Raw genomic sequence first — 12,294 nt, forward strand, 5'->3', positions numbered from 1 at the left:
CAACTTAACAAAAATATGTAGTTATAAAACTTGCCTTCCTGGAGGGTATTTGTAGCTAAAAGTAAACTAGATTTCAACTTAGATTGCCAGTAAAACACATTATAAACTATAAAGTATTACAAAAATAGGTATATAATATTAAGGTTACATGTGTATCTAAATCTTCCCTAAATCTGAATTTGTTTTATTTGACAAAGTCTATAAACAACCCCAGGACAATAAAAATTGTATCCTCAGAAAGTTTGTCCCAATCCCCTTTCATCCTATCCCCAGCTGCATCTGCCTACAAGTCCCCAGCCTGCCCAGGCTCTGTAGCTTCTATACACCTGTTCCATTTCCAACTGTTCCTGTGTTGTATATTTTATAACAAACTGTTATACACAAGTACAGTGTTTGGCTGAGTTCTGTGAGTATTTTAATCAAATTCTCAAACTTGAGAAAGGGGTTATGGGAGTCCTCACTTCTTAGTAGCTCAGAAGTACGTATGGGTACCTGTGGTTTCTGACTGGCATCTGCAGTAAGAGCAGTGTTGTGGGACTAAGCTCTGGACTCTAGGGCCTGTGCTGACTTTGGTGGTGTGAGATTTAAAATGTTAAACAACTAGTTGGTGTTGGAGAATTGCTTTGTATTCCTCAAACTCTACAGATGTAGTGTTAGAAGAAAGACATCGGCCAGGCATGGTGGCTCATGCCTGTAATCCCAACACTTTGGGAGGCTGAGGTGGGCAGACCATGAGGTCAGGAGTTTGAGACCAGCCTGACCAACACGGTGAAACCCCATCTCTACTAAAAATACAAAAATTAGCTGGGCATGTTGGCAGGCGCCTGTAGTCCCAGCTACTCAGGAGGCTGAGGCAGGAGAATCACTTGAACCCAGGAGGCAGAGGTTGCAGTGAGCTGAGATAGTGCCACTGCACTCCAGCCTAAGTGACAGAGTGAGACTCCATCTCAAAAAAGAAGAAGAAGAAGAAGGAGAAGAACAAAGAAGAAGAAGAAGAAGAAGAAGAACAAGAACAAGAAGAACAAGAACAAGAAGAACAAGAACAAGAAGAAGAAGAAGAAAGAAAAGAAGAAGAAGAAAGAAGAAGGAAGAGGAAGAGGAAGAAGAACAAGAGGAAGAAGAAGAAGAAGAAGACGACGACGACGACGACAGGGGCCTGAGCTAGAGAAAGACTGGGTGTCTGGAGAAGAAAGGCTCTCTTCTCCTGTATATAGGCTGTCACACTGCACATTCTCCTGTGATTTCAGTTCTTTTCCCCAGGTAAGAGGGGACTAAAAACTTCAGAACAGACCCCCTTAGCCTACAGCTACCATCACATACTTTTCACTCACTTATAAACATACTCCTAGGAGGTATTAATGTGGCCATGCCCCTCCCAGGAGTAAGTACCACCCTTAGGAATCCCATCACAGTGCCTTCTCTTCTAGTTTCTTGCCAAAAACCTACACAAGTGCCTATAGGTCTCCTAGTATAATTCTACCCTCAGACACTGAATCTGCAACAGCAACCTGTTCTCTCCACCACCTGTTAATAATCTCAACTGCCTGCACGGACACAGGAATAATTCTGAGTATAGCCCCTTCTAGACCATTATCTTTAACACAAACCAGTCTGTCCACCTACCTTTTACTGTCCTCCACTCATGGATTTTTGGTGGCTCCTTTCTGTTTTCTACATTTTTCCCCACAGTTTCTCTTTTACGTGTACACAGTGTGTCCAGGACCACCCATTAGATACCTAAATCCAGTGTGTACTGAAATTCAGATGTCTGGAAGTTCAAGATCATGTCCTTAATCCAGCTGTTGCTTTTCTTTAAAAAGCATTTAGCCTACACGTACATTTTTGTTTGCTTTTTTGAAATACACACATATATTTAAATTATTTTAACAGCTAAATAAAACTTACCTTTTTTTCTTTTTTTTGACTCAGGATTCTCTTTATCTAGGACCTGAGAACCACCACTTTGTTTTTGCTTTTGATTTGGCAAAGTTTTTTTTTTTCCATTTTCAGTCTTTTAAAGTAGACACAGATTTGTTTAGAATGATAAAGCTCACTTTAAGATCACACAAAAGTTGAGCACAAAGGATAGGATTCAATTCAGCAATACAGAGTAATGAAGAGTAAAAGATACTAAGTTTCTCCAACAGAAAACTAATCATCCAAGGCGATTATATCAAAGGTGATAATATCTGGAGCCTAAAGTATTTAACACTGCAAAAGCTAGAACTGTTAGTGTATAAACTGAGCAATGGAATTTTTAGCTGTGCTTTGGTTTCTACTTATTACTTCAGAAAAATTAGCATAGTTTTGTTTAGTCTTTAGTAGACAACATGCATCCATGTAAATTAAACAGTATTTTCTACAATTGTGTGAATATAAGGCCACAATATTTATTTTGAATAAACTTCTTAAATAGTAATTTTAATATTAATGTTATTAATTTGTTTGAAATATAAAGTATTATAACTTTAAGTTTATATAACTTTATTATAAGTATTAATTTGTTTGAATTAAGTTTATATAACTTTAATATAAGTATAATTTGTTTGAAATATAAAGTATTATAACTTTAAGTTTATATAACTTTATTATAAGTATTAATTTGTTTGAATTAAGTTTATATAACTTTAATATAAGCATTAATTTGTTTGAAATATAAAGTATTATAAAATATTGTAATTAAGCTTACAGATAATTTTTAAAATATATACATTATGACTAATATACCAAAATTATTTATATGTACACATTTATATTTAATACCCAAAGAAAATTTACTACCACATTGCTACAGTAGATATTAACCTGACATGTTTATTAATTGATCCTATAGGTATAATTATAGGTCAGCATAATTTTACAGTCTATTCTTTTATTTTACTAAATTAGGAATGCCACTATTCCCGGACAAATAAATGCAGGTGATGTGGCCACCCAAGAATCATAGTAGCTCTTCAGTTAGCTATCTTGCAATCTCTGATATAATTCTACTATGTGAATAGAGTGAATTCCAATTCTTCATCAAAAAGTGCTGGTGGAGGTTGTCAGGTGTGTTCCAGTATAGATTCCCAATCCAACGGCCGGCAGATGGGAGAGCAGCAGAGATGGAAATTCTGCTCAGAATAAGCCCTCTTTCTCATAATACTTGTATTTCTCATGCTGAGAGTAGCTGTGCACTTTTGGTGTTTAGAGAAGAACTTCTTTGGAAGAATATTTTCTGGTCAATTTGACCAATGTTACATGTAATCTGAATTTGTCTTTAAGATTCTTTCAACCTCTTTTCTTCTCTCAATACGGTTTTACTCAGACTGAGAGCTGTCTTTCTCTTCAATGCTTTGGGAATTCAGTGCTTTGTGTCTAAGCCCTATTAATATCACATGGTGTCTGTGAGTGAGGGGGGCTGTCACCGTGAGAACTCCTGGAGCTGCTCTATCTAGATCCATGCTATGTATCCAGCAATATTCTTTTTGTGTCAGTATTATAAATAGAAACTGAGGCTGAAACATTGCTCCCGTTTCCCTTATTGCAAAAGTGCAATTCTACCCAAGAGCCCTGCAGGCTCTCCTCCTGCAGCTCAGGGACCCCGCTCTGTAATGTAAAATGTGGGGACCCCACTCTCTAATGTAAAATGTGAGCTGCCAGCTGTGGGCTGTGCCTCAGTGGTAGATGGCAGGGTTTGGGAGAGGACACAGGCCACCAGGAGAGGGCAAGCAGAATTGCTGCAGCCCAGGGCTTAGTGAGTAGGGATCCATTGCTTTGAAATATAAATAGCCGGCCGGGCGCGGTGGCTCATGCCTGTAATCCCAGCACTTTGGGAGGCCAAGGCGGGCAGATCACAAGGTCAGGAGATCGAGACCATCCTGGCTAACACAGTGAAATCCCGTCTCTACTAAAAATACAAAAAAATTAGCCAGGTGTGGTGGCGGGCACCTGTAGTCCCAGCTACTGGGGAGGCTGAGTCAGGAGAATGGCGTGAACCCGGGAGGCAGAGCTTGCAGTAAGCCAAGATCGCACCACTGCACTCCAGCCTGGGCGACAGAGCAAGACTCTGTCTCAAAAAAAGAAAAAAAAAGAAATATAAATAGCCAAGATGATAGTACCCTATCTCACTCTTTCTGTACGAGATGGAGGGTGACTTAGAGCCACTTAGAGCCACTTACAGCTGAAGGTAAGGTAGGCTTACCTGCAACAGGCACCTGGCTCTAAGTTGCAAAACTGCCTCCTATCATGATGTTGGAAGTTTATTTTTTCTTTGCATATAACCAACCAGCATACACAGAAGGCCTCCCCAATTACCAGGTGAGTTTAAGATGAACTATGTATAACAAATGGTTTGTACAGAAGGGAGGCAGGAGAATGGGGTATGGAGGCAGAGAACTTAAGGCCAATTTGTGCTGACTTCCTAAAAGAAAAAACACCAAGGTCTGGAGGCAGGAAACCTAAGGCCAATTAAGGCAAACTTCCAACAGCTAAACCAAAAGAAAAAGTCCCATCTCCCCACACCTGAATAGCAAAGGATCAAAGGCTACTGTCCCTACAACCCTCCCCTTTCTACCACTTCTCAGGTAGAAAGGGAAAGTGCCTTGGAGTGGCTGCAGGCCAAGCACCTGCATTCCTTCATCCGCATAGCGTGCCAATTCTCCTAAGCCTTTAATTAGCCACAGACCAAATCCTTAATCCATATCAGTGGTAGCTGATAGGGACCTCAAAAGGAGTACTAAAAACCCAGAAAACTTCGTAACTGGGTCCTTGAGCCACTTGCTCAAGCCCATACCCACCCTATTTCTTACCTTAATAAATTTCCGCTTTTGATGCTTCCTCCCTCTGTTTTGTTCCTTTGTTACTTTGTGCATTTTGTTCAATTCTTTGTTGCCAAGGACCTGGACAACTCACACTCACGGCCTTCGTTCTGGGAACAGAAGTGCAGTTAGATGTGGATGCATGTGATTGGTGCTTAAACTCACAGTGCCCCACACCAAAGGAGAAAAACACATAGTTACAGCCTGTGTGTCCAAATTAGGTCCAGATTAGGTCCAAGGACAAATAGCAAAACAAGAAGATTGCCTTTAATCTTTTCCCTCCACTTCTAAACTCTGGAGGACAAGGCTGTGAAGAGATCTGAAGACATGGTGTTCTCTGCTTGTGTGGCCCCAACATTCTTTGTTTGCTGTCTGATATTTGAAAGGAAGAGGAACCTTTGATAGAGGAGGCAGTCGGACGCTGGTTAGGCAGATAGAGAGAGGGCCTGGGGAGAGGAAAAACACGTGTGGGACCGCACCTGCACCACCTCTGTAGCTAGCAGGAAGAAATGTGGTTAAGAACTTCCTCTTATGCCAGGATGTTGCTCCAAAGGGACTGTCCCAACTTAGCACAGGCGCAATAAATCAACCCAAATGTCCTTAACTTGACCCAGCTCATTATAAGGTCATTAACATGACATTAGCATTGTGGTTTTGGCTCTCCTCGTGTAAGTTTCGCTTAGGCACTCATGGGTAATAACCAAAATGGAGTCACTGTGGCCAATCCCAGGCATGCGCAGATGCAACACCCTTAGTGAGGAACTTTACCCCTCCCATTTGGGCAGAACCCACAGAAGACATACTTGTTCTTGCCACATAAAAGACCCAGACCTCAGCCTCATTTCTGGCAACCTGCTTTCAGGTCCCCTCTTGCTTCTGAGAGCTTTCCTTTTGCTTAATAAATCCTACTCTGCCTTGCTCACTCTCTGGTATCCGTGTGCTTCATTCTTTTTGGTCGTGGCACAAGAGTCCCGACCTGGCTGAACCGAGGAGACCACCACACCTCCACCAAACAGCAACTGGGAAACCGTGGTCTTCACGTGGATACTCTCAGCTTGCAGCCCCTGCTCTCTCTAGGGGCACTGTCCCACCCACCCTTGAGCCTGAGGAGAAAAGTTGGTAGAGAGGCTGGTCCCTTACTTCCAGCAGAAAAGAGGTGTTCAGGCCCTCACTTCCCTAAGGGAAGAGAGCCCTCATGGCTGCGCTCAATGTGGCAGCCACCTGCCATATGTAGCTACTGGGTACCTGGAATGTGACTGGTTTGAAGTAAAATGTGCTGCAAACATAAAATACACAGTGAGTTTAGAAGAATTAGATCAGAAATACATAAAATACACAGTGAGTTTAGAAGAATTAGATCAGAAATATACTTTATTTCTAATTATATATCAATCACATATTAAAACAATATTTTGATACAATGAGTTAAAAATTATTACAAACAACTTCACTCTTTAAATATTATTTTTGACGTGGCTAATAAAAACGCAAAATTCACAAATTAATATTTTATTTTTTAAAGGATTGCTTCCCTCTTAAAATCTCAGGTGTCCTACTCAAAAGACTAGCGGCCAGAAGGGTTATGAAATCTAAAATATTAAAATAATTGTCATTATATCACTTCCGTTTGTGAAAAAGTGTGTGTGCATGCATGTGTGCATGCGTGTGTGTGCGCGCGTGTGTGTGCGCGCGTGTGTGCACGTCTGTGTGTAAGTGTATTTTACAAGTGGACATAACCTTACACACAACAAGGTTAAAAAAAACACCCCTGGGCTGCGTCAGGCCAAGCCGGGAGAGAAAGCCCCGCCTGAAAGGGCCTGGAGGCCCCAGCCTGTCACTCTTGCCACATCAGTGGAGTGTATGGTTGCAAATTCTGTTACTCAAGGCCCGAGGGCGGGGATTGGAGTAATATCCAATCAGAGTGTCGGAATGAGAACTGCCCAATCAGGCCCGCAGCCAGAGAGGAGGGGTTGGCTTCCGGGATCTGGCGCGGCGTTTTCCTCTGGCTCCTGCGAGGGCTTGGTTTAGGGCTTCAGCTCTCTGCGTTCTCGGCTCCGGGAGGCCTCGGTGATTCAGCCACAGCCTCTGCCTCCCGTTGCTCTGTGACCTGAGGGTATTGGACAATTTGTAGCTAAGACTCCCGGATACCCTGAAGTCGGGAAATGGTGAGTGTGCGGGGCAGGGCGTCCGGAGGCTGGGGAGGCCTCATCGGAACCGGCGGGAAATGGCGGCGGCGGGACCGAGTCTGCGAACGGAGTCCCCGCTGCCGCCTCTCAGCCCTCAGTCCCCTCCGGTGACGGACCGGGCTCCTGTCGGTCCCCGCACGGCGGCTCTGGCCCAGCCTGCGGCCCTCCTTGTGCAGTTCTGCGCCCGCAGCCCCGCACCTTCCCTGGGCCGCGGGGTGAGGAGGAGCTCATCTGGAAGACGCCGGCGCCCGCGTGCGAGGTGCCCGCCTGGGAGGAGCTGTGGTCCGGGGGTCCGGTCCCTACTTTACCCTGTTCGGAATGAGATCGAGGCCCCATCGAAACAAAGTTCATGTGAGCAAACGGGGTCTCATTAATGGGACAGCGTCGGCCGCGGCTCCTGGTTTGGGGACTGCCAGCGGGTCTTGAAGGAAAGGCTTTTGTGAGGTGTGTGAGCAAGCGAAGCAAATCACCCGCCCGCTCCAACTATTCCACCAGTCCCTTTGCCCTGTGCACCTCCTCCGCGTGGCTGTTCCTGAGTAACATCTTTTAGAATACGCTGGTGTCGGTGCGCACGGCGCTTCTCAGTTCTGTGAGTAGTTCTGCCACATTGCTGAACTTGAGGGTGTGGGCGCCCCTGGTTTGTAGACAGGCGTTCAGAAATGAAGACGGGTGTCCAGAGGCAGGGACTGGCGTCTGCAGCGGGAGCAGTTGTGGGAAGAGCGCTGAGCTTGTGGGGTCTGCGCTGACTCTGGGTGGTGTCGTTAGTGAGTTGCTGGACACCGCGTTGGGGTTGGAGCATTGACTGGTGTTGAGGAAACTCCGCACGTTTTCTGTCAGAAGAAAGACATGGCTGAGCCTGGGCTGGAGAAAGATGCCTGGTGTCTGCGGGAGGCGCGGCCGGGTTCTGCATATGTGCTGTCCCGCTGGGCACTGTCCTTTTCCTCCAGGTCTCCTTCCGGGGAGAGAGGGGACCCAGAACAAAGAGGAAAGGAGTTCTGAGAAACATCCCTTCCCTGCACCCTGCTGCCAGCCCCCACCCAATGCTAGTCCACTCCTGAGCACGCCCACCGGGCATTCGCATTGCCCCACTCTTCCCAGTACAGGATTCCACCTCAGGAATTGTGCCCATGGCAGCTTTGCGCCTAGCGTTTTCTGCCAAAAACACACGCAGTGCCCAGAAGTCTCCTGGCTCATCTCAACCGCAGACCGGATCTACAGCAGGAACCTGCTTCCTTCACCCACCCAGGCTTCCGGACCACCTGATCCTAATCCCTTCTGTCTTTGTAGACATGGAATCAGAGCGTAGCCCTGCCTCGGCCTGTACCTGTGGCACAAACCAGTGCTTTAGTCAGTCCTGCCCTGCTCCCACTCATGGCTTTTTTTTTTTGAGATGGCGTCTTGCTCTGTTGCCCAGGCTGGAGTGCAGTGGCGTGATCTCGGCTTACTGCAAGCTCCGCCTCCCAGGTTCACGCCATTCTCCTAACTCAGTCTCCCGAGTAGCTGGGATTACAGGCGCCCGCCACCATGCCTGGCTAATTTTTTTTTTTTTGTATTTTTAGTAGAGACGGGGTTTCACCGTGTTAGCCAGGATGGTCTGGATCTCCTGACCTTGAGCCCTCCCGCCTCGGCCTGCCAAAGTGCTGGGATTACAGGCGTGAGCCACCGCGCCCGGCCTCCCACCCATGGCTGTTGATAGCTCCTTTCTCTTCTGCTTTTTCCTTCCCCACAAATTCTCTTTTCTGTGTACACGGTGTGCCCAAGTCCATCCCTCAGGTGCCTATGAGAATTCAGACGTTAGTGAGTTCGAAACCAGGCCTTTTGGCCTGGCTGTTGTAGGAGCAAACACAAATTAGAAGAGGCTTAATGCTTTCTCTTTAGAACGAGGGAAGAATTTTTGCTCTTCTCCTTTTTCTTAAAGCATTTAGTTTGAGAACTTTTATATTTAAATATTTTCTCTGCTTCTTTGAAATATATGTAAATCATTTTTATCAGTTAAATAGGTCATTTGTCTTTTTTGGCTCAAAATTGTCTTCATCTGGGACCTGGGAACTATTGCTTTGAAATGTAAATAGCAAGAATATACACCCTATTTCACAGTTTCTGTAGGGGACTAGGAGGCTGCCTTCAGCAGGTACCTAGCTCCACATTGCAAATCTACATCCTGTCACGAAGATGTGGATGTTTATTTTTTCTTTAATGATTAGAAAAAATTAGAAAACCCAGATGACCTCTCAAATTACATGATGAAATTATAATAAATTGTGTATGACAAATGGTGCTTTCAAGGCTTCTACTTGAGAACTAATTATGGTGACTTTCTGTGTTTGCATTTTCTTAGATTGCTTGTGATGCACATCATATTTTGGTTTAATTATACAACAAAACATTTTCTTGCAGTTCTGTTACTGTGGAGACTTTTTTAGGATTGCAGATGATTTTGCTTTTAGTTATATTTTCCACACACTGTCCAGAATTACCAGATGTTATACACAAAATGTCGAGCAGACTTCACTTGAGAAAACATTCTTTCTCAGGATTCCAGTCACAACCTGCAATTGTGCGGCAAAGTGCAGCAAAGTATTTCCTAAATCTGCAAACAGAATGGTCTCTCTCTTGGCATCTACAGTCCTTTCTAGAGCAGTTAAATTTCTACAAAAATAACTTTTCAGGACAGCAGTCAGTTATTTCACCGCCTTCAGTGCTCCTGGCATCTTCCGTTCTGACACTGATTTCAGAGATATGGGGCCCATAAACCTAACCAGATTCACACATACGCATCGATTAAACCTGAGAAATTCTGCTCCCTCCCACCTCCCCTTGCCCACATGCCCACAAACATTTGGCATGGGCCACATTGTGGCCCACAAACATAGCTCACCAGCCCTCCAAGACCTAAATGTGCAGTTCCAAATTCTGAATTTATGTCCTGAGATTTGATAAAAGAACTTTTATTTGAGAAATACAAGTTTTTAGATTTATCAGACCCAGAGATGTGTTAAAATGAGACCACACTCACATACTGTTCTCCTCCTTGAACTATTTGTCTTTTGAAATTGCTTGCTATTGCCACAAGTGGCTGTAAATTAACCTAATAATGCCACACTGGACACTATGACCCATACCCTATAGCTTAACTATGTATATGGCCAATCACTAACCAATGTTACTTCTATAAACCAATAAGAATTTCTGACACCTTTCTATCAATCTCCTCTCTGACTTCCTTTTTGCCTGTAAAAATATGCTTGTAACTGCTTCTAATTGGAGTGTATATTCAGGGCAACTTTATACTCCAGGATTGCAGTCTTCAAGCTTTGGCTCAAATAAACTCTCTACTTATGTTTACCCCAGCTTTTTCCCTTTAGCTCAAAATATTCTTTAGAATATGTTGAAGGAGGCTTCATGAGAAGGTCTTTCCTCTGATTTTACTCTGTTTCCTGTAACTCAAGAATGCAGCACACATTGATCTCACCTAGAATCTGCACATAAAAGCTGGCTTCTGCCCAGGATTCACAAGACAGGGCCAGACTTTGGGTTGAAGAGATACAGAAAAGTCACAGAAGGTGTTTTCTGCATCATGAGAGGTCAGCATAGACATAAGCCCCACTTTCAGAGTGGAGCCCTTTGAGTTTTCCAGATCTTGTCCAGTGACCTGCTACAGCTGAGTAAGAGGCTTCTGGTGTGAACACAATACTGTGGCAGAATCTGTAAGTGTAAACAAGCACCTTAGCAGTGGGAAGTCAAGGCCACTAAATATCCAGAGCCATAATGCCAACTATGCCTCCCTGTGTTACTGGAGTAGAGTACTTTTTTCCTTCGCCTACCTCAGAGTTAGCTGATCAGGGACAGGGGATATCACATCCAGATCCAGGATCTGCAGCTCCATCAGGGCAGTTCCATTTTCTGTTTGCACCCCAGAAAGTCAGCCTGAGTCTCCTGCCTGGATCACTATGGGGGCATCAGCCCAGGGTCACTGGGGACACTCTCAGCAGCATCAGTGAGTATTTGAGACATTTGAGGATGTCCTGTGCAGACTGGGTCAGTGTTTCATATGGACATTAGAAAAAGAGATGAAATAGTCGTGGTCCCTACCATCAAGGAACTTGCATTCTAGAGCACATTAATAAATGATGGAATTCAGCGTCATGTATTCAGTACAAAGATGAAAACTGTACAGGAGACTTAAGCTTCGTTTGGGTTACTTCCCTTTTATTGTTTTGTGAGTTTTGATACCACCACCTGCATGGCTGTTTATGGACAGAAGAGAAGTCATTATTTGTATTGTTTTTGCCTTGCTAAGAATAAATATTTAACTTCAAATATAATTGGTCTGGAAAAACAAAAGGGTTTTGGTTAAATTCCTTGTTATTGTATGTTATAGATGGGGAAGTGGCAAAATAGATAAAAATTACACAAACTCTGGGAATCAAATTTCTTTTGGGCAGGCTTAGAAAAGACAAAACTGAAACTACTTAGTGGCCTAGAGAGCAGAAGCCTAGGGCCCATTTTCTGTCCCAACTTTGCCCAGATCCCCCCTCTACTGAACCTTGTCCAGGTCTGACCCCACACTGAAATACCTCACAGAACTGCTTAGAGAAGATCAGAGTTTGGAGTAGCTATTCCTACTGCCTCTCCAGAGCTGGTGCTCCCAATTTCCTGAAACACAAAAGCTGATAAATGGAGAAAGGCAATGTACTTTGAATTTAATGTACTTAAATTATTTTATGTAAAATTAAAACCAGTATTTCTAGAGACATCCCATCCAGCAACCTGTTCTCCATCTTTGCAGTTTCAGTGGATTTTTCACAAGTCTCAAAGTAACTATAAACACAAAAATAAAAAATTCCCGAATTGTACTTAAAACTTTCTTCTGTGTCTCTCCCATTTATCTACATTGAGCTATTATTCTATATATTTTTTAAAAATCAATGATAGGAAAACAGAAGAAAAAATAGAAATGCTGGGCCCTGCATTTAAATCCTGGGAAGTATCACACACTTTGTACCCACCTCCCAGGATGCTGTGAGAATTAACACACATAATGTGAGCTTCCCAGCACAGTGCTCTGTGACATACTCCTGAGCACATAGTACATGCTCCACAAATATCGCATTAATGCATGTGGATGTGCTGTTTTTCAAATGCAGACTTACTCAGACATTGCCACCATCTCCAGCCTCTGTAACCTTTAAAGGGCTTGCAGATAATGCCACGTTTCAGGATGTTGATTGCTGGTCTTGTCTTCGGATGAAAAGTATTTGTGTTGTGATAAGGGTGTTGGGGTAAGGGACTCTGCGTGCTGTGTCTGC

At 43.9% G+C, this 12,294-nt stretch overlaps 1 protein-coding gene and 1 pseudogene across 4 annotated transcripts in view, besides 2 other annotated features; one reads left to right on the forward strand and one right to left on the reverse strand.

Moving 5' to 3' along the window:
- On the reverse strand, window positions 2,369–4,994 carry LOC105374377 (BCL2/adenovirus E1B 19 kDa protein-interacting protein 3-like; annotated as a pseudogene).
- Window positions 6,655–7,596: an enhancer, noted in NCBI's record as "H3K27ac-H3K4me1 hESC enhancer chr4:53076-54017 (GRCh37/hg19 assembly coordinates)". NCBI's record gives its function as "activates a minimal SCP1, AML or CMV promoter by ChIP-STARR-seq in naive and primed H9 embryonic stem cells {active_cell/tissue: H9 hESC(naive and primed)}" and the evidence as "EXISTENCE:reporter gene assay evidence [ECO:0000049][PMID:30033119]".
- Window positions 6,794–12,294, forward strand: part of ZNF595 (zinc finger protein 595) — a 34,888-nt gene continuing 29,387 nt past the window's right edge. For all 4 annotated transcript variants that reach the window (NM_001286054.2, NM_182524.4, NM_001286052.2 and 1 more), the window contains exon 1: window positions 6,794–6,964. Coding sequence is in view for 2 of the 4 variants with exons in the window: in NM_182524.4 (NP_872330.1) it covers window positions 6,962–6,964 (3 nt within the window). In the remaining 2 variants the exon portion in view is untranslated. The remainder of the gene's footprint in view (window positions 6,965–12,294) is intronic.
- Window positions 7,597–8,537: an enhancer, noted in NCBI's record as "H3K27ac-H3K4me1 hESC enhancer chr4:54018-54958 (GRCh37/hg19 assembly coordinates)". NCBI's record gives its function as "activates a minimal SCP1, AML or CMV promoter by ChIP-STARR-seq in naive H9 embryonic stem cells {active_cell/tissue: H9 hESC(naive)}" and the evidence as "EXISTENCE:reporter gene assay evidence [ECO:0000049][PMID:30033119]".

The sequence above is a fragment of the Homo sapiens genome, chromosome 4, assembly GCF_000001405.40.
Source record: "Homo sapiens chromosome 4, GRCh38.p14 Primary Assembly".
In the NCBI taxonomy this organism is placed as follows: Eukaryota; Metazoa; Chordata; class Mammalia; order Primates; family Hominidae; genus Homo; species Homo sapiens.